Below are 24266 nucleotides of genomic sequence, written 5' to 3'. Positions count from 1 at the left end.
ATGATAGGACACATTGGGATCCAGCTCTAGGCTTCCCAAATTGCTCTTTCCTCCATCCTCTCATCGTTTTTTCTTTGTTTTGTTTTGTTTTTTTGAGACAGTGTCTCACTCTGTCACCCAGGCTGGAGTGCAGTGGCGCGATCTCAGCTCACTGCAACCTCCGCCTCCCACGTTCAAGCGATTCTCCTGTCTCAGCCTCCAGAGTAGCTGGGATTACAGGAGCCCACCACCATGCCTGGCTAAAATTTTTTTTTTTTTTTTTTTGGTATTTTTAGTAGAGATGGGGTTTCTCCATGTTGGCCAGGCTGGTCTCAAACTCCTGACCTCAGGTGATCTGCCTGCCTCAGCCTCCCAAAGTGCTGGGATTACAGGCATGAGCCACCACACCCAGCCCATCCTCTCATCTTTATACATTCTCACATATAAAGAAGCACTCACCATGCCTGCCTCTCAGACCATTCCCGCAGTGGTCTGAGAGGCAGGGATGGTGAGCACTGCTTTATACATGAGGAAACTCACCCAAAGCTGCCCAGCTCCTGGGTGGCAGAAGCAAAACCAGTAACCAGGTCTCTGGATTTAGAGGGGCATCAAGCAGTGACATGGCACCATGGGAAGTGCAGCCCAGCTATGACTGGACTGGCTTAAACATGTATGCTCTAAGGAGGTGCCGGTAATCAAGCAACATGAGTGAACTGGAGTACTCCTAGATAAAGGAACTGCACAGTGAATATTCTTTTAGGAATGACAACAGTAATAACAACAGTAACAGCTAATGCTTACCAGGGGCTGACAAAGTACTTGGTCCAGCATTGGCAGTTTAGGGGCCTCTCATGTCCTTCTCATCACAATCCCAGGAGGTAGTTATTACCAAATGTGGGCTTGACCTCTGAATTTAAAATTGCAATTTACCCCTGGCCCTCCTGCTCTCCCCTTAACCTACTCTACCTTTTTTTCTTTCCATACCACTTATTGCCTCCTAATACACTACATTATTTTCTTATTTATTATGTTTATTGTCTGTCTTCATCCCCTCCTGAAACTGTAAATGGTAAGGTCTCCCTATGAAAGGGTTTTGTCTTTTTCTCCCCACCGATGTATTCCAAGTACTTAGGACAGTCCCTGGTACAAAGGATGCTTAATAAATGTTGAATGAGTAAGTCACCATTTTACTGATCAGAGAATTAAGATGCAAAGTAACTTGTTTAAGGTCACACAGCCACTAGGAGGCAAAATTAGAATCCAAGCATAAGTGACCCAGTACTTGTACCACTACAAATGATTTCTTGTCATCTATAGTCCCAGCCAGCAGCTCTCTCCTAGACCACATAGCCACGTCTTCCTCCTTCCTGAACTGTGATTCCTCATGACTCCCACTGCCCAGGCTTCCTCAGCCTCACTGACTGCTTCCTCTCAGCCTCTTCTCCTAATTCCTTTTTCTTCAACCATCTGTCAAATTCCATCTTTGCCAAGGTTCTGTCTCTAACCTCCTTTATCTTTCCTGTTCTCTTTTTTGCAGAATTGAGGGAACAGGTGTTAATATCAGGGTAATTAATTAATCTTGAGCCTAACATTTGTCTAAGAACTCATTTTTATGCAATATGTTCCTTTATCTTAGGACTAACTTTAGGCTGAAAATGAGCATTTAATGAAAATTGGAAATGACAAATGCTAGACACTTTTTACAGGGCGTGCATTTTATTCTTAAAGGTCTTGTTTTTCAAATCTAGGGCTAAAAGCTAAATTCTTAAATCATTTGACAGGTTCATGTTCATGTTCTAATTAAGTGCTCTTGAAGCCAACTTAGAGAGTGAGTATTGATGGCAAGGAAATCATGGTCTTTGCAGTTTTAAAGACATCTCACACTGTCTTTTTTAACCGAAAACAGCTTGATCAATAAGCTCCCCTTTGTTTTCTATTTTCTTGGCCAATATTTTTTGAGCACTATCATTTTTATGGTAACCTGAAAACTGTTCCCTGTTACAAACTACACAAGATTCTATAAATAATCCATAATCAGACAAGAAGCAACAATTCTCTTAATTTCTTGGAAATTGCTCTTTGCCAGCTTGCAAGAATTTCATCAAGGCATTCTAACAATACAAACGGCTTTTCTTTTTTTTTTTTTTTTTGAGACGAGTCTCGCTCTGTCGCCCAGGCCGGACTGCGGACTGCAGTGGCGCAATCTCGGCTCACTGCAAGCTCCGCTTCCCGGGTTCACGCCATTCTCTTGCCTCAGCCTCCCGAGTAGCTGGGACTACAGGCGCCCGCCACCGCGCCCGGCTAATTTTTTGTATTTTTAGTAGAGACGGGGTTTCACCTTGTTAGCCAGGATGGTCTCGATCTCCTGACCTCATGATCCACCCGCCTCGGCCTCCCAAAGTGCTGGGATTACAGGCGTGAGCCACCGCGCCCGGCCACAAACGGCTTTTCTAACTAGACAGTTGGGAAGAGAAAACCCTCCATTAAACTACAGATGAGATTAATTGGTTTGAGTTGCAATTTGTTATTAGTCTAGTTGGGCAGATGCCAGTATTTCAGCTGCCCAAACTACAAATGTTCCCTGTTTTTGTTTTTTTTTTTTTGAAAGAAAGAACATTAATTTAATCTACAACATCCTTTAAAATTTCAGGATCAACAGGACAGAATCATCTGGAAGATGTTTTTGTGATGCCAGTTCTCTAGGTTTCCTGAATAATATAAGGACTATTTGTTAGACACAGGCATGGATCCAGAGGAAGAGGAAATATCAATCATCAATTCCACGGATGCAAACAGTGACAGCAGTGCCCAAAATGAGCCGTTTTGCTGCCTGCAAATTCTATAAACAATGAGTAGTAGAAACATGCCATGACCTGAAATATTTCATACGTGACACGGACAAGAAATAAAACTCTAAACTTGGAAAAATCATAGAAAATCATTTTGAGAGTCCAGTGATTTTTAAGAGAAGGGTTAGGAAAGCACAGATCAGAATCTCACCAGAGGTGAGGGATTTTTGAAACCACACATGCTGATCTTCTACTTCTGGGAAGGTGGAGTAAATATACTTTTCCTGATTCTCTCTAAATACAACTAAAAACTCTGGAATATATATATGAATGAAACATAAGACTCTAAACAGTGAAGAAGAGAAGTCAGGTTAGGGACATGAGTACCTAAGGAATGACAATGGTAAGTCCTGTTGACTTTTTAAATGCCCGGTAAGCCCCAGAATTGCAGCTAACAAAACTGGTAACCCAGAAATGCCAATGAGTACAGAGAAAAGAAAAAGAAAGAAGAGAGAGGAGAGAAAGAAAGGAAAACAGAAAAGGTAGGAAGGAAGGGAGGGAGGGAAGAGAAGGAAAAAATAAAAAAAGAAGAAAAGAAAGACTGAACTCCTCTATCTAGATAAAGTACCAGGAAAGGTTAACCTAGCCAAGATAGAAAACTTTTAGACAATAACCATTCTACTTCAGCCAATACCACAGAAAAAACTGCAGTCCCACCAGCAAAGGCTTAGCGAAGAGCCTAGACTTATACCCTTGAGGGGCAATAATAAGGCATTGAAACCTCCTTACCAGGGTGGTGTCACAGGAAGCTGAGGAGAAAGCTGGGACTTCTAGCCCTATTGGGCGTTAGTGAACAATCCATCCCCCTCTTGGTGGTATCAGTGCAGCCCACAGGACAAGTCTGGACTCCTACCCCCAACTAGCAGGAATGAGGTACACCTCCCTCTCCTTGATAAAACAGTGTCAGAGGAGGTCGAATGGAGAGGCAGGAATTCCACACTGCTCAGTGCTCTCCATGGTGTCAGCGGAGTCCCTGTGGGGATACATGCCTGTATCTAACAAACAGCCCTTATATTATTCAGGAAACCTAGAGAACTGACATCACAAAAGCATCTTTCAGATGATTCTGTCCTGTTGATCCTAACATTTTCAAAGGATGCTGCAGATAAAATTAATGTTATTTTTCTTCTAGAAAAATAGAACAATTATAGCTTGGGCAGCTGTACCCACAGGAACAGTAACAAGGTGGCTTTTCCACTCACAGTCAGGGTGATACTGGTGGAAGGCTAGTGGGGAGCTTGTACTTCCATCCTTCCAGCAGTAACAAGGAGACCCTCTCTCCCCTCAGGTATAAGTGATGAACATGTGGAGATCCCGGACTCCATATCCACCTGGAAGTAAAGAGATAGTGGCCCCTTTCACCTGCCATAGCAATATCAGAGGAGGCCTGCTAAAATATAAGGTTTAAGTAAAATTCAGTCTTAAAAGAATCCCCAAATATCTCGGTTTCAATAGAAAATCATTAGCCATACCTAAAACCAGGAAGATTTCAAACTGAATGCGAAAAGATTATCAACATACACCAACACCATGATGACCCAAATGTCAAAACTATCTGACAAGGATTTTATGCAGACAGCATAAAAATGCTTCAACAAGTAATTATGAACACACCTGAATCAAATGAGAAAATAGAAAGTCCCAGCAAAGAAAGTTATAAAGAACCACCAAATGAACATTTCAGAACTGATAAATAAAGTAACACAAATAAAAGCTCAGTAGATGGGCTCACCAGCAGAATGGAAGGGACAAAGGAATCAGTGAACTTGAAGACCAAACAACTGAATGTGCCTAATCTGAATGAACAACAGAGAGAAAACAGACTGGAAAAAAAATGAATAGAGCTTAGGGACATGTGGAACTATAACAAAAGATCTGACATGCATGTCATCAGAGTCTCCTAAGGCAAGGGTAAAAAGAATAGAGTTGAAAAACTATTCCAAAAATTAATTGCTGAAATTCTCTCAAATTTGGCAACAACAGAAACATACAGATGCAAGAAGCTAAGTGAACACCAAACAAGATAAACCCAAAGAAATCTACTCCAAAACACATCATAATCAAACTTCTGAAAATTAAAGAAAAAAATATTGAAAGCAGCCAGAGAGAAATAATGCATTACCTACAGGAAGAAAATTCAAAGACAGCAGATTTATCAGAAACCACAGAGGCCTGAAAGAAGTGGCACATTTTTCAAGTACTAAAAGAAAAGAACTGTTAACCCAAAATTCCATATCTCTTGAAAATATCCTTCAGAAACGAAGGGGAAATCAAGCATTCTTAGATAAAGAAAAACAAAGGGAATTTGTCATTAAGCAGGTCTACTCTAAAGGAATGGCTAAAGAAAGTTCTCTATGCAGAAGAAAAATAATAAAAGAAGGAATCTTAGAACATTAATAAAAAAAGAGCAATGAGAGATGCAAAAATAGGGGTAAATACGATAGACTTTCTTTCTCTTGAGTTTTCTGAATTGTATTTGATGGTTGAAGCAAAAATTATCATTGTCTATGTGGATTTCAATGTATATAGAGGAAACATTTAAAACAATTGTTACAAATGGGAAAGAGTAAGTAAAGTCATGCAAAGGGAAGTAAGGCCTCTACACTTTATTTAAACTGGTAAAATGACCATACCAGTAGATTGTGCTACATTATAACATAACACCTAAGCAACTAATAAAAAAGCTACCCAATGGGATACTAAAACACACTATAGATAAATCAAAATGGAATTCTAAAAAAGGTTCAATTTACTCATAGAAATGTAGAAAAAGAAAACAGAAACAAAAACAGGAGATACCAGAAAACAAATAAATGCTAGACTTAAGTCTTAATAGATCAATAATTATATTACATGTAAATGGTCTACACATGCCAATTAAAAGAGATTGGAAGAATGTATTTTAAAAATGACCCAACTGTTTTCAATTTACAAAAAACCCACTTCAAATATAATAAGTGGGTTGAAAGTAAAAAGATGACAAAAGACATACTATGCAAAAATTAATCAAAAGAAAAAGTGGCTATATTAATGTAAGATGAAGTAAGTTAAAAGAAGTGGCTATATTAACATATTATAAAGTACACTTAATGTACACTTCAAAGTAAAATATATTTCATATACGCTTCATAGTAAAATATCATAAAATAGACTTCAGACCAAAGAAAATTACTAGTGACAGACATTACACAATTATATAAGGGTAAATCACCAGGAAGACACAGCAATCCTAAATCTGTCGATTTTGTTGATTTTTTCAAAGAATCAACTTTCAGTTTCATTAATTTTCTCTATTCTCTGTTGTCTATTTTGCTTATCTTTACTCTAATATTTATTTCCTTCTTCTGCTGGCTTTGCATTTACTTTGTTCTTCTCTTTGTAGTTCCATAAGTGGTAAAGTTGTTTATTTGACATCTTTGTTTTTTAATGTAAACATTTATAGCTATAAATTTCCCACTTTGCTCTTTTTTGCTATATTCCATAAGACTGTATGTTGTTTTCATTTTCATTCATCTCTAGGTATTTTTTAATTTCCCTTGTGATTTTTTAATCCATTTGTTGTTTAAGAGCGTGTTGTTTAATTACACAAATATGCAAATTTTCCAATTTTCCTCCTGTTACTGATTTCTAACTTCATACCATTGTGGTCTGAGAAGATGCTTTATATATCTTTTAAAATCTATTTAGACTTAATTTGTGGCCTAATATATGGTTTATCCTGGAGAATGTCCCATGTGCACTTGCCAAAAATGTGTACTCTGTTGTCATGTAGAGTGTTCTGTGTGTCTGTTAGACCTAGTTTGTTTATTACATTTTTCAAGTCCCCTATTTCCTTACTTATTTTCTGTCTGGTTGTTCTATCCATTGAGAGTGGGGTACAAAAGTCTCCAACTATTACTGTGGAACTGTCTATTTCTCTCTTCAATTCTGTCCATTTTTGATTCAGTTATTTTGATGGACTATTATTAGGTACATAAACATTTATAATAGTTATACCTTATTGTATTAAGCCTTTTATTTATAATGCTCTTCTTTGTCTTTTGTAATCTTTTCTCATTTAAAGTCTATTTTGTCTGATCACTACAGCCACCCTTGCTCTCTTTTCATTACTATTTGCATGAAATATCTTTTTTCAGCCTTTCACTTTCAGCTTATTTGTGTCTTTGGATCTAAAATGAGTCTGTTGGAGACAGCATATAGATGGATCATGCTTTTTAATACATTTTTCCAATATCTGTCTTTTGACTGAAGATTTTGAGCCATTTATTTTTAAAGTAATTACTGATAGGGAGAGACTTCTGTCATTTTGCTATTTGTTTTTCATATGCCTTGTAGCTTTTTTGTTCCTCATTTCCTGCATTACTGTCTTTTGTATTTAACTGATTTTTTTTTTTTGGTAGTAAAATGTGATTCCCTTCTCATTTCCTTCTGTGTATATTCTATAACTATTTTCTTTGTGGTTACCATGGGGATTATATTTAACACCCAAAAGTTATAACATTCCCATTTGAATTTATACCAGCTCAACTTCAGTAACATACATGAACTGCCTCTATACAGCTCCGTCCCTAATCTTTTCAGTTATTGATGTCATATAATTACATCTTTATACACTGTGTATCAAAAAACATAAAGTAATAGTTGTTTTTTATAACGTATTCTTCTCTTAAATTATGTAGACAACAAACAGTGGAGTTTCAAACCAAAGTTGCAAGAATAGCTTTTAGGTTAATAATTTTTTTAAATGTATTAGTCTCTTAAATTATATAGAAAACAAAAAGTAGAGGTACAAGCGATTTATCTTAGTCAGCTTGGGCTGCTATAACAAAATAGTACAGACTGGGTAGCTTAAACAACAAACATTTATTTTTCACAGTTCTGAAGGTTGGGAAACCAAGACCAAGGGGCTGGCTGATTGGGTTCTTGGTGAGGACCCTCTTCCTGACTTGCCTGTCTTGACTTCTTGACTTGTCTGTCATATTGCTGTGTCCTTACATGGCAGGGAGAGATACGGACTCGGCGGGAGGGCTATCTGGTCTCTTCATATAAGGGTACTAATTTCATCATGAGGATCCCATCCTCATGTCCTCATCTAAACCTAATTATCTCCCAAGGGCTTTACTTCCTAGTGTCATCACATTGGGGATTAGAGATTCAATATATGAATTTTAGAGGGATACATTCAGTCCATAACAACCATTAAAAAATAAAAATTGGGCCGGGCGCAGTGGCTCAAGCCTATAATCCCAGCACTTTGGGAGGCCGAGATGGGCGGATCATGAGGTCAGGGGATCGAGACCATCCTGGCTAACACGGTGAAACCCCGTCTCTACTAAAGATACAAAAAAATTAGTCCGGCGTGGTGGCGGGCGCCTGTAGTCCCAGCTACTCGGGAGGCTGAGGCAGGAGAATGACGTGAACTCGGGAGGCGAAGCTCGCAGTGAGCTGAGATCGCGCCACGGCACTCCAGCCTGGGCCACAGGGCGAGACTCTGACTCAAAAAAAAAAAAAAAAAAAGATTGGCCGGGCGCAGTGGCTCACGCCTATAATCCTAGCACTTTGGGAGGCCGAGGCGGGCAGATCACGAGGTCAGGAGATCAAAACCATCCTGGCTAACACGGTGAAACCCCGTCTCTACTAAAAATACAAAAAAATTTAGCGGGGCATGGTGGCAGGCGCCTGTAGTCCCAGCTACTCAGGAGGCTGAGGCAGGAGAATGGCGTGAACCTGGGAGGCTGAGCTTGCAGTGAGCCGTGATCACGCCACAGTACTCCAGCCTGGGCGACAGAGCCAGACTCTGTCTCAAAAAAATTAAAAAAAAAAAAAAATGGCCGGGTGCGGTGGCTCACGCCTGTAATCCTAGAACTTTGGGAGGCCAAGGCGGGCGGATCACAAAGTCAGAGATTGAAACCATCCTGGCTAACACAGTGAAACCCCATCTCTACTAAAAATACAAAAAAAATTGGCCAGGCGTGGTGGCAGGCACCTGTAGTCCCAGGAGGCCAAGCTTGCAGGGAGCCGAGATCGCGCCACTACACTCCAGCCTGGGCGACAGAGCAAGACTCTGTCTCAAAAAAAAAAAAAAAAAAAAAAAAAAGAGGCTGGGCATGGTGGCTCATGCCTGTAAGTCCAGCACTTTGGGAGCCTGAGGCAGGTGGATCACTTGACCTCACTAGTTCAAGACCAGCCTGGAAAACATGGCAAAACCCCATCTCCAAAAAAAATACAAAAATCAGCTGGGTGTGGTGGCAGGTGCCTGTAGTCCCAGCTACTTGGGAGGCTGAGGTGGGAGAATCACTTAAGCCCAGGAAGCAGCAGTTGTAGTTAGCTGAGATCGCAACACTGCACTCCAGCCTGGGCGACAGAGCAAAACCCTATCTCAAAAAAAAAAAAAAAAAAAAAGCAGAAGGATGTGGTAGGCTGAATTACCACCTCAAAGATGTCCATGCCCTAATCCCTTGAACCTGTGAATATGTTAGTTAAATGGCAAAAGGAATTTTGCAGATGTAATTAAAATAAGAAGGGTATCCTAAATTATCCAGGTGGCCCAATGTAATCAAATGGGTATGCAAAAGCAGAAATCTTCCTCTGGCTGGAATGGGAGAGATCTGAAGCATGAGAGGGAATGCATTGCTGGAGGGGGCCATGTGGAAGGCTTGAGAAGAAATGCAAGCAGCCTCTAGAAGCAAAGACCAATCCCTGGCTGATGACCAGTATGGAAACAGGGACCTGTCCTACAGTTGCCAAGGAAGTGAATTCAACCAACAACCTAAATGATCTCAGAAGTGGATTTTTCCCCAGAGGACCCAGTAAGGAACACAGCTCTACCAACACCTTGATTTTGGCCTTGTAAGACGCTCGCAGAGGACCCTATCAAGCTCACCCAAACTTCTGACCTACAGAAACTGTCAGATAATATGCTGATGTTGTTTTAAGATGCTAAGTTTGTGATAATTTGTTATGGTAGCAGCAGAAAACTAATGCAGGGGACTTATCTAGAGTAAAAACAACTATAAAAGACATTCTTGGGGCAAGTGGGAAATTCCCATATAAACTGGATTATAAATAACATTATGGAATTACTGTTAATTTTCTTAGTTTTCAAAATGGTATTATGGCTGTGTCAGAAAACCTCCTACTTACTCAGATAGGAATGCTGAAGTACTTTGGGGTCAAGAGCCATGATGTCTGCAATACATACTCAAATAATTCAGGGGGAGAAATATATATATATAATATGTATAAATAAAAAGAGATAAAGCGAATACAGCAATAATTATTGAATCTAGGTGAAAGGTATATGAATGTTTATTGTACTATTCTTTCAACCTTTCTAAGTGTTTGAAAATTTGTATTGTTATAATAAAAAATAGAGGGGAAAAAGTGTTGAGTTAAAGCTAGACACCAAAGAACACATACTATGTTATTCCATTGATACAACTTTAAAAACTGTATGTAGGTAAGGAGTTCATCTGGAGATGAAGAGTGATAATGGTTGCACCACAATATGAATGTACTTAATAGCAATGAACTGGCACTTAAAAATGGTTAAGATAGGCTGGGCGCGGTGGCTCACGCCTGTAATCCCAGCACTTTGGGAGGCTGAGGCGGGTGGATCACGAGGTCAGGAGATTGAGACCATCCTGGCTAACACGGTGAAACCCTGTCTCTACTAAAAATATAAAAAAAATTATCCGGGTGTGGTGGCAGGCATCTGTAGTCCCAGCTACTCGGGCGGCTGAGGCAGGAGAATGGCGTGAGCCTAGGAGGTGGAGCTTGCAGTGAGCCAAGATCGCGCCACTGCACTCCAGCCTGGGTGATAGAGCAAGAATCCATCTCAAAAAAAAAAAAAAAAAAAAAACAGGTTAAGATAGTACATTTTTGTTATGTGAACATTACCATAATTTAAAAATCCTAGAAAAAGAACCAAAAAACCCAAACACATATGTAGTGGTAAAAGTACATTGAAAACAAGGCAGTGGCCAGGCGTGGTGGCTCACGCCTGTAATCCCAGCAATTTGGGAGGCCGAGGCGGGTGGATCACTTGAGGTCAGGAGTTTGAGACCAGCCTGGCCAACATGGTGAAACCCCATCTGTACTAAAAATACAAAATTAGCTGGGTGTGGTGGTACACACCTGTAATCCCAGCTACTTGGGAGGCTGAGGCAGGAGAATTGCTTCAATGAGGGAGGCAGAGGTTGCAGTGAGCCAAGATCGTGCCATTGTACTCCAGCCTGAGCAAGAAGAGCAAAACTCCGCCTCAAAAAAAAAAAAAGAAAAAAAAGGAAAACAAGGCAGTAATGATCATCAATGTCAGAACAGTGGTTACCTATAGAGAGGAGAGACAGAGTTGTGACTGGAGGAGGACACATGTTGAGCCAAGCCTCTGGGTGCAGGAGATGTTTTATTTCTCAATCTAGGTAGTAGCTATACATTACTATAATGTATTAAGTTATACATACACGTTTTATGCTCTAGTCTATATATGTCTAGTATTTCACAGTAAAAGGAAGTTATTAAAAGTAAGTCTTGTATTTGCAAAACATTACCTAGTTTTTCCAAAAGTTGTTTTTATTATTCATTCATGTTCTACCTTATGTCAGAAAGAATTGATGATGGGCCTGTATTTTGATTCCTACCTAATAAGGTTTGGAAGCATGATCATTCCTAAGATTCCTTTTTCTGAATAGAAAAACAAAATCACAGACCTACACATTCAGAAACTGAGGATGGGGCCAGAGATCTGTGCTTTAACAAGCCCTCTTGGTGATTCTGATGCTTGCCAAAGTTTGAGAACCACTGCTGTAAGTATATGTAAAAATAATCCTTGTTATTTTCATGGAATAACAATCTCATCTTCAAGACCTTTTAAATACTACTCCTGATGCCCATCGTATCCGTATAACTGTAGTCTCCCATTCTATCAAATGTTGTACCTGGCTGATGTAGAAGACTGATCTGGAGGCCTGATTCAGTCAGGAAGAGAGAGATTTTGTACCCTTATTTTCTAAGGCATTTAAAGAGTAACCTAATCTTATGACAAGAAGCATTCCCTTGGCAAGAAGCTGAGGCTCCGAGGGGCGACAGACCATGCCCACCAAGTGTTAATAGCCAGATCCATCACCAAAACTGAGGTCTCCAAGACGAACCAAGATCCTGTCTCCTGAAAGCACTCAACAAGCATTACATCAGGAAATTCTATTCTATTAGCCAGAGTGTACATCCTTGATGGGGATGACCTGACTGGGCTCATGACTACCAGCTGGAACTGCGGACAAAACAAATAACTTCCTTGAAGAGCTACATTTGCTGGGCAGCCCCAGGAGACATCCCTCTTTAGTTAAGGCTGAAGACTGCGAGAATACTGTCCTGGCTGAAGCGATGAAAAACACACCTCATATGTTTTTGACCGGCAAGCACAGAGTGGGCACAGCTCCTCATGAGGTCAACTGCAAGTGTACCGTCTATTAATGAGATGTGGTCCCTGGCCTCAAGGTGACAGACTACACTACCCCTTATGTGTCAACACCAACCATCCTAAAAATAAGTAAGCTGCCAAATCATTTCAGCTAAAACAAAGGTACTGCCTTTCCCCTCCTAACTAAAGAAAAAACCTTCAGGAAAAGGTTAATTTCTGACTCTGAGGGAGAACAAGTAATCCAGAGCCGGAGATCTGCTAGACAAAGTGCCCCACCTCTGTGAGCACTTGAAAGAGGACTGGGCGGGTCAAACACTTCAGGTGCCTGTGACATGTTGTCAAGGCAACCACTGCTAGCTCTTGCAAAGGGAATCTTCCCCACTGAGTTTTCATGCATTCTCTTGCCCTTAAGTTCTTTTTGTTTTAAGCTATTCTTTAAATTCTTTTAAGATAAAAAACAATAATGTCTTTCTATTATTCCGGAGGCTTCGTTATTAGTTCAAGCCTCCTATCAGAGGTCCGGTTCTCTATGAAAATAAGGTGTCAAGGTAGTACGGGCTTTGAAGTAATATTAATTTTCACTTTGTAATCATACAAATCGTGCTGTCTTTTAAAATAAATTGAGGCAGAAATGATTCAGAGTCTATATGTTTTGGATGGAAAGAGAGCACTGCTCCTAAACTACTGTAACAACATGACAGTGGGAAGAGAAGGCTAAGAGAAGTGCAGCCAATCAAACCCACAATATTAAAAAAAAAAAGAAAAGAAAAGAAAAGAAAAAAAAAAAGGCTTATAAGAAAACCAGAGAAATTTGCAAACTGAGATTCCGTGATGCTAAGGCATTGTCATCAAGCGTTTTAGGTGTGATGATGGAATTGTGATTACACGAAAGCAAGCAAGCAAGACAGACAAGAGACTTCATCTTAAAAGCTACATACTGCTATATATTGTCTATTCAGCAATAACAGATTCTTTACAGATGAAAATTACATGATGGAGAGAAAGACAAATAGAAGCAAAGATATATGTGCTGATGGTGGGGAACACCATGAACACCTCAATGTTCACCCTACTTTATACAGGCTATGAGGCACTGATGGACAAAACTTGGAAGGGCCTGAAGTCACCAAAAGCCTGTCCCAGTAAAAATTCTGATAGAGCATGGCTCTGATGTGGCTGTGCTGCTGACCACTTCCATTCACAAACAAACTCTTCCGCAGCTCTGCAGATAACCACACTCTAAATCTCTCTTAGCCCACATGGCTTGCAGGGACGAGTGTGAGGTCACGTTCTGAGTTTGTTTCAGTGAACAACAGCCTTACAGGGCAGCTTCTACTCCACTCCCTCTGGCTGATAAAGCTCCAAATTGATACACTAGTCCCCCTCAATCAGGAAATGAGGGAGAATCTACAGGTGCCTAAGAAAAGATTCCAAAACAGACAAGAACACAGCATCCGAAAGTTGTAAAAAACATTTATTACAGGAAACAAAAATAAATCTTCAAGGGCATCTCCTAGTATTTAGAAAAATTTCTGAACATATAAGATCTATGAAGATAAATAAGATAGAAAAACAAGAAGGAAAATAGAGCATCTGGCCAAAAGGATTCAGAAAAAAAATGGGAACTGAATGAGATAAGGAAAAATAATAATAAATCTAAAAATACAAAACTAATATCTGTACTAGAAACCATACAAGACCACATTGATTGTACAGAAATAGAATCAGTGGTATAAAAAGCAAACATGAAAAAGTTCTTCCAGAAGGTAGAGAATAAAAAGGAGACCAAAATCATGAGAGAGATGGTGATGACAATGGAAGACAATGAAATGAGTATACGGACAGTGTTCTTGAGAAAGGGCTCCTATGAAACTGTCACAATGAAAGACCTACAACTGTTAATCAAAAGTGGTCACTGAGCACCAGGCAAAATTAAAGCAAACAAATTGACACTGAGATACACTCTGACGAAAAATGGAAAATGGCAAGGGCAAAGAAGAAAAGAATAAAAAAACAAGCATCAAAATACAGATGGAAGGATTACTATATGTACAGAGACAATTCTGGCTGCTCTCAGACTTCTCCATCAAAATACAACGGATCAGGTGGTGGTGGTTACACAAATCTACACATGTAATTAAATCATATAGAACTACTACTACTGATGCTGCTGCTACACTACTACTACTACTGATAGTCCGTGATGTACAATGGTTAGACCTATATTTTGACTTTACAATAGTGTGGAAGTGATACACATTCAATAGAACACCAATAAATTACATAAGATATTCAACATTCAATATTCACTATTATTACAGAATAGGTTTTGTGTTAGATGATTTTGCCCAACTGTAGGCCAATATAGGTGTTCTGAGCCTATTTAAGGTAGGCTAAAGTATTATGTTCATTAGGTTATGTGTATTAAATGTATTTTCGACTCTATGATATTTTCAACTTAACAATGCGTTTATTGTGATGTAACCTCACTGTAAGTTAAGGAGAACCTATACTACTATACACACACAAATAGACACAAATGATTACATCTAAAAACTGGTGAAATCTGAATAAGACTTGCACTCTACTTATTAATAATAGTATTGTACCGAAGGCAGCTTCCTGGTTTGATATTATATTACATTATGAAAATGTTATCATTGGGCAAAGCTGGGTAAAGACCACACAGGATCTCTCTGTACTATCCTGGCAACTTCCTGCAAGCCTATAAGTATTTTTAAAAAAGACAATAGATCAAGGTCTACTACAGAGATAAGAAAGAAAAAAGATAATGAATGAAAGATTCTATATCCCAGTAAGTTGCTGTTTGTAGGTGAAAGCAGCTGTCATTCTTAGTTATGAAAGTAACCTGTGACACCTGGGCGAAGATCACACCAAACCAAGAGTTAAAACAAAGTTTTAAAAATGTTCAGAAATGAAAAAATTTTAAATGAACGGTTGTCCTTTAAAAGGTCTTCTTATAAGCTGTGAAATTAAAGAGCATTAAAATTTAAATAATTGCTATGAATATGATTGTAAAACTGGAAGTGAATATCAAATATAATGGTTAAGAAATGATACATGATTAGAAAAATTGCAATATAACAGTAAACCGGCCAGGCACAGTGGATCACTTGAGGCCAGGAATTTGAGACCAGTCTGGACAACATGGGCAGAACCCCGTCTCTTCAACAATACAAAAAGAAGCCGGGTGTAGTGGTGCGTGCCTGTAATCCCAGCTACTGAGGAGGCCGAGGCACAAGAATCGCTTGAACCTGGGAGGCAGAGGTTACAATGAGCTGAGATCGCACCACTGCACTCCAGCCTGGGTGACAGAGTAAGACCCTGTCTAAAAAACAAAAACAAAAACAATGAAACAGTAAATTAGGACTAACATCTCAGGATATACCCCCATAAAAACCAACAACAAAAAACCCCTGGAAAATAGATTTAGAAAATGGGAAATGTTAATTACCTGCTACTTTTCTTATCATACATGAGGATCAAGAGAAATACACTATTTTTTATGTTGATACAAATTATTTTTAAAAAACACTCTTAAAGCTATCTTTTAGCAGATTGAACAATGGAATTGATACTTTTCAAGTCTCTATAGATAAAAGAAAACAGAATCCAAAGGCAAGACATCATTAAAAATAGAAGTCTAAAGCTATGTTTTAAAAAGTTTAATTAGAAAATAAGTACGAGTTATGAAAATAAATACGAGTTATGCAAATAAATACAAATAGCTTTTCACTTTCCTATTAAACACAAAGACTCCAAATTGCCCCAAAGGTTTCCCCCATATATTTGCCCACCTTTTAATTTTTTCAATTAATTGTATCTATAAATGATGTACCAATAGAAGTCAACAAATAAAGGCTAAAAGTTTATTTTTTTAATAAACAACAGAAGGTGGAGATGGCATTGCTAATATCAGACAATGAGAGAAAACTTCTGTTGCCAAGTATTAAAAGCAATTGTAATTAAAAATAGTTTAGTCATGAAATAATAAATGGATCAAATGAACACAAACAGAACTTGGTGTATAATGATAGGACGAAATAACTTGGTCTATTATAAAGTTTGCCTTTTAAATCAACAAAGAGAAGGGATTGTTTGAAAATTTTTTTTAATCAACTGGTGATTTAGAAAAAGTAGTAATTCCTTGTCTTATCTCATATACTAAAATAATTCCAGTGAAGTGTAAAACTTAAATCACAAAGAATCAAGAAGAAAATATGTTATTTATCCTATCTCAAAGGTCTAAGTACATATCTGTATGCTAATAATATTCAACTATAAACAAAATGCAAGGCAAATGACAGACTGAGGAAAATTATTTGTAACAAAAACCATTAAAAAAAGGACAAACACCTCCTATCTATATGGGAAAACACATGATTAGACCATTCACATACATACCCTGTTCAAATTCAAACATTCATTAAACACATGAAAAAACCTCACAATCACTAATAATAAAGGAAATACAAATGAAAATAACTGTATAACTTGAGAAAGGAAATTTGTATAGCCTTTATGGAGGGTAATTTGGCAATAAATACCAAAATTTGTTCTTGATTTTTTGAGAATTCATTTTAAGGAAATAATAAAATATGTGTATAGATGGTTCCCAACTTATGACGGCTTGCCTTAACAATTTTTCGACTTTACAGTGGTACAATGATGTGAAAGAGATATGCATTCAGTAGAAAGCAGTATGATACTCTTGAGATGCTGGGCAGCAAAACTGAGCCTCGGCTCCCAGTTAGCCACACAGTCATGAGGGTAAACAACCGATACTCTGCAAGAGACTGTGTTGTCAGATGATTTTGCCCAACTGTACGTTAATGTAAGTGTCCTGAGCACATTTAAGGTAGTTTAGGTGAAGCTATGATGGTTAGATGTATTATATGCCTACAATATTTTCAATTTAGGACAGTCTTATTCAATTTAGGATAACCCCCTTGTAAGTCCAGGATCATCTGCACTGAGATTTCTGCCTTAAGTTTGGGGGAGGAGCACGGCAGTCATAACTTGACCAATGGATCAGCCCAGCCTTGCCACTTGGGTGACCAGCAATAAAATGACGTCAATAAAAGTACCTGCCTTTTAGAGCTCTCTAGGGATCCAAAGAGATAATAAGGTCATACCTACTCTGTACCTGGCCCATGGTAAGTGTTCAGTAATAGACAATGGTAGTAGAAGTGGTGATATTTATCTACATCATTGAATTAGAGGTTCAAAATCCCTTATCTGAAATGCTGTCAGCCAAATGTGCCTCAGAATTAAGATTTTTTTGAAATTAAAAGAAAATAGTGCATTTATCTAACTAGGTCTGGGATATTACTTGGTAATTTTACTATTCTTACAGTAAAATATATGAATACTCATTTTTAGTGAGATAAATATCAGTTCAATTCAGGTTTTACAGTGAAATAAATTATGAAAAAACTTTCAGTTTTCAGAGCTTTCTGGACTTCGGATTTGAACAAGAAGGATTGAGAATCTGCATTTATAATAGAGAAACATTAGAATCTATCTAAATGTATAATAAGAGATAGCTTAAATACATTATAATACATTCATAAAACAAAAAACTGCTCAGCTATAAAAGTCACTTTTTCAAATAGTTAATGAGATATAAAAATATTCAAGACAAAAAATATATGCATATTGATTTGAACTTTGTAAATTATATAAATGTTTATAATTCCAAAATAAAAGACTGCAAGGAACCATACCAAAATATTAAATTAGCCACATTATGCTCTTTATACTTTTCTGTATGTTCTAATCCTCTGTGATGATTAGGAAAACAATCTAACAACTTTTAAGTCATTTATCGTTGATATTCCTGTGCAGGACTAGGCTAGTTATCACTCTAAAGGGTTATTAAGTCCATTTTTGCCCTCAAGGAGTCAACACTCTCATCCTGAAAGAGCTCTGGCCAATACTCAGTTCTCTCTGCCTGTGACCGTATTTCATTCTCTATGAGCGATTCCCTATTGGCACCTCAGGACAACTTGACTCTGGTGTGAGGAAATAATAATTCAGGGCTTATTCAAATGTGTTTGACTTTTGTTCTTTTTCACTGTACTCATCAAATTTCAATCATTTAAGAAATTGTTGGGGGGAGGGATGAGGAGCCCTCATTTGCATTTGTTCCAGTGCTTCTAGTAAAGAAAACAATATAAACTTGACAGGCCCAGCAATGAAAACCCCAATCGTTTTGTGGAGTAAATGGGATGTTAAGAGGGACTGTGGCATTGGAAGGGGCCCTTCGTGGAGGAGACAAGCAACAGTCCATCTTACCTAACAGACTATTCTTCAAAGTCTAAAGGGTGGGCCTTGGGCCACAGCTTTGAAGGGCCCAGTTCACAATTTGTTTGCAACACGAGTGTTCCAAACAGCCAGGTGGCTTTCCATGAACTCCTCGTGGGTCTGGAATTCTCCACTGATTCTCCACTGATTTAATGTACAGTTTGAAAGTGTCTAACACCAAAAGATTATATGTGACAGAATAATTATGGGCTGTTATGAGCCTCACTTCTGAACTTAAAACAAAAGGTAAATAAATGGTCAATCAATGTCTAATTACTTCAAGGACCAGATGGATTGATATTTAATCACTTTAATATAGATTCCAACAGTCTTTTAAAACTATTGCTGAGAACTAGAGAAATCCTTGTGCAAAGCTTTTGCCACACAGAAATCATAGCCAACTCCAAAGTTAAATAGGAAGTTAACTCTCAGTTTAATCCCACAGAAAATTACTTGTTTCCAAGCAAATTATCCACTCAGGATACTTTTTGAAGAGTGCTAATCCTTCCCTCCTGCTTCCTGCCTCCCACCCTTGCCTTCTCCCAACTCAAAGAGGAAGAAGAGTGCTCCCTGCCATCAAGTCCTTCCTTAAAATGACGACCTTTCAGGAAAAAGAGTTGACTTACCCTATCCCAGCTGAAACACAGGCCCAGACGATCAAGCTGTTTCCTCATGTGTTTAATATTACTGTGAAACAATGGGAAAAAGGTTTGGTTTTTAGAGAGGGGATTAAAGCCATACACAACTACACTTTGAGAATGTAAAGGGAAACTGAAAAAGTCTAAATTATTCAAATGGGTTTTAAGTGTTGCTTTGCCCTAGCAGAAAAATCAACCACTAAGAATCAGCAAAAAATACCAACAGATTAGAAGACACCCATTATTTGGACATATACAGAATCCACTAGAAACCACAATGGTCTTTGGCCTTGAGAACTGCCCCTTCCCCTGGCCATTCAAATAGGCAACCCCTTTGAGATGTGCACTGCTGGCCCGTCCAGACGTCAATATTCTGCAAGCATTTAAGCCATATTATTTAAGCCAAGCATTTATAAGCTTAAAAGTGGCTGAAAACAAAAGCCTTAATATATAAATTGTGGGAATCCAAAAGAAACCACACACTGCTTTGTTAATGAAAATGTAAATCCTAAAACCTAAAACTATCCACCATTGAGAAACAGGGAGATAAACAGGTAAACCAACTTATAATATAACATGGAATAAAGAAATAAACCTTTTTCTCTTTCATTTTTTTAAAGAAAAAGGACTAATTCATTTCTACTGCATCCTCTTTTAGATTCTAGCAGACTAAAAATATGAAAAACCATGAAAAAATCTTCTGTATAATCTCTGATTAGCTAATGGCAGCTTATTTAATGCAAGACCCTATGCTAAGCACTTTGCAGAGAAGTGCTTAGTCTTTATCCAATCACATGAGATAGGAACTATGACTATCCCTCTTTTACAGATAAATAAACTGAAGCACAAATAAGTAAAGAGAAGTTAAGTAATTTGCTCAAGGTGATCTGCTGGCAAGAAGGGAAGGCAGGATTTGCACCTAGGTAGCCTGGCTCAGGGGCCATCATCTTAACTGCTATTCACCAGTAGAGAGGCTGGCAAACCTAAAAGGGCCAGATGATGAATGCTTTCAGCTTTGTGAGCCAATCAGTCTCTATTACAACTACTCAGCTCTGCCACTGTCTCACGGAAGCAGACACGGACAATATGTAAACAAATGGATTTGACTGTGTTCCAATAAAACTTGATTTACAGAAACAGGTAGGGCCAGATTTAGCCCACAGGCCGTAGTTTGCCAACTCCTGGTCTACCTTATATCAAACATAAGCCATGTTTGATCCACTTTATTTGAATCATCATTTCCTCCTCTTTTTATCACTAGATAAAATCTAGTGATAAAATTAATTAATCTAGAATTAAACATTACTAGAAAAGTAGAAGCTAGGGGTTAGGAAGAAAAAAGAGACCTGGATGCCATAGTATGGACAGAAGCACAGTAGATGCTTTTACAATGTATCCTTGGGTAAGCTAGAACAAAGACAGGTAAGAGACACTGGGCACAGGCCCTGGAACTGCCCTTCTGTCTCTCTAAGGGGTGGCATGGGGAAGCGTCCCAGGCCTTTGTGAAATGAGCTGATGCAGTGGCCCCAGAGGATTCTGCCAAGTTCTAGGGTGAGGCCCTCAGGACTTTAGCAGGAGGGAGAGGAATGAGCACCGCTGGCCCACGTGTAGTAGAAGCCTGAGGCTTGGGTGGGATTGCGAGTGTGTTCCGCCTTGGAGAAAACCACACCCAGAATAAAGTGGCCATATATTTCTACATGGAATGCCTAAGTTCCTCTTGCTTCTGAATGGTGAAGGCAAAAAATAAACTGAATTTTCAGAGAAAATTATAATGTAGTATTCGGATATAGTAAAACTATGGTCAAGAAGACCAGAAGCATTATAGAAATTTAACAAATGCGACCCTCTTCTTTTTCCTAACCCTCTTCTTTTTCCTACCGAATGTAAATACTCGAAGGAAAAATAACTGTAAATAACAAAGCATCAAAATGAACACATGAACAAATATCCAAAACCCTCTCTGAATATTTCTTAGATAAGAATACAATATGTTAAAAGACAAACACCAATATACACAATCATATTTATCTCTTGGTACGCTGCAGTGTTTTGTTTGCTTTGCTTTCTATTTTTTAAGCACAGGTTAAAAAAATTTTTTAAAGGTTTTTGTATGCAAGTATTTGAATATGCCTGTAAACACTTACCTTTGTGTCCAACTTTGTGGATGTAGATTCCTCTCGACTGCGGCATTTTCAGCAGGCAATCCAAAAGCATCCCATCCCATGGGGTTGATGACCTAGGACCCAGAAGAGGAACATCAACCATGGCAAATCATTAATAACTCCATTGGTATTGTCTTCTGGGGCAAACTCAGCACTCTCTCCTGCTAACATGCCTTATCTTTTGCTGGATGTTTTCAGGTTATGCATCTGACAGCCAGCTGGCTACCTATGACGTAACCATAGAACACAACTTAGAAGGTTATATGCCAAAGCACCAATAAGTTACCTCTGAGGAGGTGTTTTCATGAGTACTTTTTATTTTCTTCTTTTCTATAGTCTCTATATTGAACCCAAATTGTTTTTCTGAAATTATAAAGAGTTTCTTTCAGTTTCACATATATATATACACACACACACACATAATGTATAGGCTTTCCAAATGCTCATGTCATGTCAGTTTTTTTTTTTGTTTTTTTTTTTTTGAGACAGAGTCTTGCACTTTCACCCAGGCTGGAGTGCAGTGGCGTGATCTCGGCTTACTGCAACCTCCACCTCCCAGGTTCAAGCGATTCTCCTGCATCAGCCTCCCGAGTAGCTGGGACTACAGGCACACGCCACCACACCCAGCTAATTTTTTTTATTTTTAGTAGAGACAGGGTTTCACCATGTCAGCCAGGATGGTCTCGATCTCCTGACCTCGTGATCCGCCCGCATCGGCCTCCTAAAGTGCTGGGATTACAGGCGTGAGCCACTGTGCCCGGCCAGTATTTTTCATTTATGGAGCTGTGCTGTCCAATATGGTAGCCAGTAGCCACACATAGCTATTACATTTAAACTTAATTAAAAGTAAATAAAATAAAAAATGCAGTTCTTCAGTCTCACTAGCCACCCTTCAAGTGTGCAGCAGACACACGTGACTGGTGGACACTGAACCAGACAGTGCAGATATTGGATATTCAAATCATGGCAGAAAGCCGCACTGGACAGTGCTGCAGAACACATGCATAATGACCACACTGGTGGCTCTAGGCAGTCCCAGCTCTACCCAGACCTAAGAAAGTTCATCCCAACCCTACTCAGTGGCCCGGACCTGTCCCTTTCTCACGGCTTGCCTGAATCCGGCACACAGTCCCTCTTAAATGTACATCATTCAGCACCCTGCTCCAGGTTGCTCCAGAATCAAGAGTTTCACACTTCTTTCTTCTATCTCTCTCTCTCTCCCCTGATTGAGGCAATACTCTCCTGAAAGGCCCACTCCCCATTTCTTCCTGAAGTTCATCCCTTTCTTTTTTTTTTTTTCCAAGACAATGTCTCACTCTGTTGCCCAGATTGGAGTGTCTCCTGGGTTCAAGCAATTCTCCTGCCTCAGCCTCCCGAGTAGCTGGGATTACAGGCGTGCACCACCATGCCCAACTACTGAAGTACTGAAGTACTGAAGTTCATCCCTTTCTTCCCTACCAGTAAGGGAGGGAAACCCCCACCTCTACCCAAACAGCCAGATAGATGAAAACTAAGAAAAATACACAGGAACACAGCAGAAAAGGTATTCCAGAGAGTAACTTTTGAGACTGGATAAAAGTAAGGCTTTGGACTAAGCCCTATACATCATTTACACTAATTTCTAAAATAGCCTCTCTCTCTCTCTCTCTCTCTCTCTCTCTCCCTCTCTCTCTCTCTCTATATATATATATATATTTTTTTTTTTTTTGAGATGGAGTCTTGCTCTGTTGCCCAGGCTGGAGTGCAATGGTGCAATCTCGGCTCACTGTAACCTCCACCTCCCAGGTTCAAGTGATCCTCCTGCCTGAGCCTCCCCAGTAGCTGGGATTACAGGCACATACCCCCACACCCGGCTAATTTTTGTATTTTTAGTAGAGATGGGGTTTTGCTATGTTGGCCAGGCTGGTCTTGAACTCCTGGCCTCAAGTGATCTGCCTGCCTCGGCCTCCCAAAGTGCTGGGATTACAGGAGTGAGCCACTGAGCCTGGCCTAAAATAGCCAATATTTTTAAATTAATTGCAAACCACTAGCTATGCTTTTGGTATAAGAAAGGTTCCATGTGTAGGTTCCTTTTCTCCTCAGTTTCATCGTCTGTAAAATGGGGATGATAGCATAACTACCTCATTGGATCACTGTGAAGATTAAGTGAGTTAAGAAAAGTGCTGAGAATAGTGCCTGCCACACAGTAAAGTGCTGTATATAATGTTGGCCACTAGTATTATTATTTCTAAAGAGTACTGCTCTCTAATCACCTTCTAGAAGATATTTTCATTCTCCAAAGAACAAGGAATCACAAATCTTCAAGCACAAAGAAGGTTTTGAGATATATCCTCTACCCCCCAACCCCTTATTTGACTGTTCAAGCAACTGTGGCCCAGCAGGAGTGAGGAGTCTAGAAGCAATTACCTTAAGCAAGCCCAGGCCAGTAAGGCATTCTTGTCTGCAAATGAGTGGCCAGTCACAGCTGAGCTGGCAGCTTCACTATCAAGCTCTCTCAAACTACATGCCATGAGCAGGAAAAATGGTTTGACACATCTGCTGTGGCATCAGGGGACAGTCTCAGGAAGCCAGGCTCCCTGCCCCTGTCAGGAAAGACACACTGCTTACAAAATTCAGTCCCCTACCATTCTCTGAAACTGAATCCAGCCACAAAACCACAGACGCCACTTCTTTCTGAAGCCTGCCTGTGGGGAAGGACTGACCAAGAAGACTCTGATATTTCTGTTATAGAAAACAGCCCATTCCAGTTGACCCTCTTATTTCCTATCAAGTTCATGGGCTGTCAACCTGGGGTAAGTTTTATTTTGCTGCCTTTTTTTTTTTTAAGAGACAGGGTCTTGTTTGGTTGCCGAGGCTGAAGTGCAGTGGCGCCACGATCAGTTCACCGTAATCT

The 24266-nt window shown here is 39.2% G+C and overlaps 1 protein-coding gene across 6 annotated transcripts in view, besides 1 other annotated feature; it reads right to left on the bottom strand.

Moving 5' to 3' along the window:
- Window positions 1–24266, bottom strand: part of LARS2 (leucyl-tRNA synthetase 2, mitochondrial) — a 160832-nt gene that overhangs the window by 110479 nt on the left and 26087 nt on the right. For all 6 annotated transcript variants that reach the window (NM_015340.4, XM_017006042.2, NM_001368263.1 and 3 more), the window contains 2 exons: window positions 21356–21447; window positions 19200–19260 (listed from right to left, as the gene is read on the bottom strand). In NM_015340.4, the coding sequence (NP_056155.1) occupies window positions 19200–19260; window positions 21356–21447 (153 nt within the window). The remainder of the gene's footprint in view (window positions 1–19199; window positions 19261–21355; window positions 21448–24266) is intronic.
- Window positions 23926–24126: a silencer, noted in NCBI's record as "peak4627 fragment used in MPRA reporter construct". NCBI's record gives its function as "represses an SCP1 promoter by STARR-seq MPRAs in K562 erythroleukemia cells {active_cell/tissue: K562}" and the evidence as "EXISTENCE:reporter gene assay evidence [ECO:0000049][PMID:32103011]".

Source organism: Homo sapiens, chromosome 3 (assembly GCF_000001405.40).
Source record: "Homo sapiens chromosome 3, GRCh38.p14 Primary Assembly".
Lineage (NCBI taxonomy): Eukaryota > Metazoa > Chordata > Mammalia > Primates > Hominidae > Homo > Homo sapiens.
This window is presented reverse-complemented; position numbering and strand designations above follow the sequence as displayed.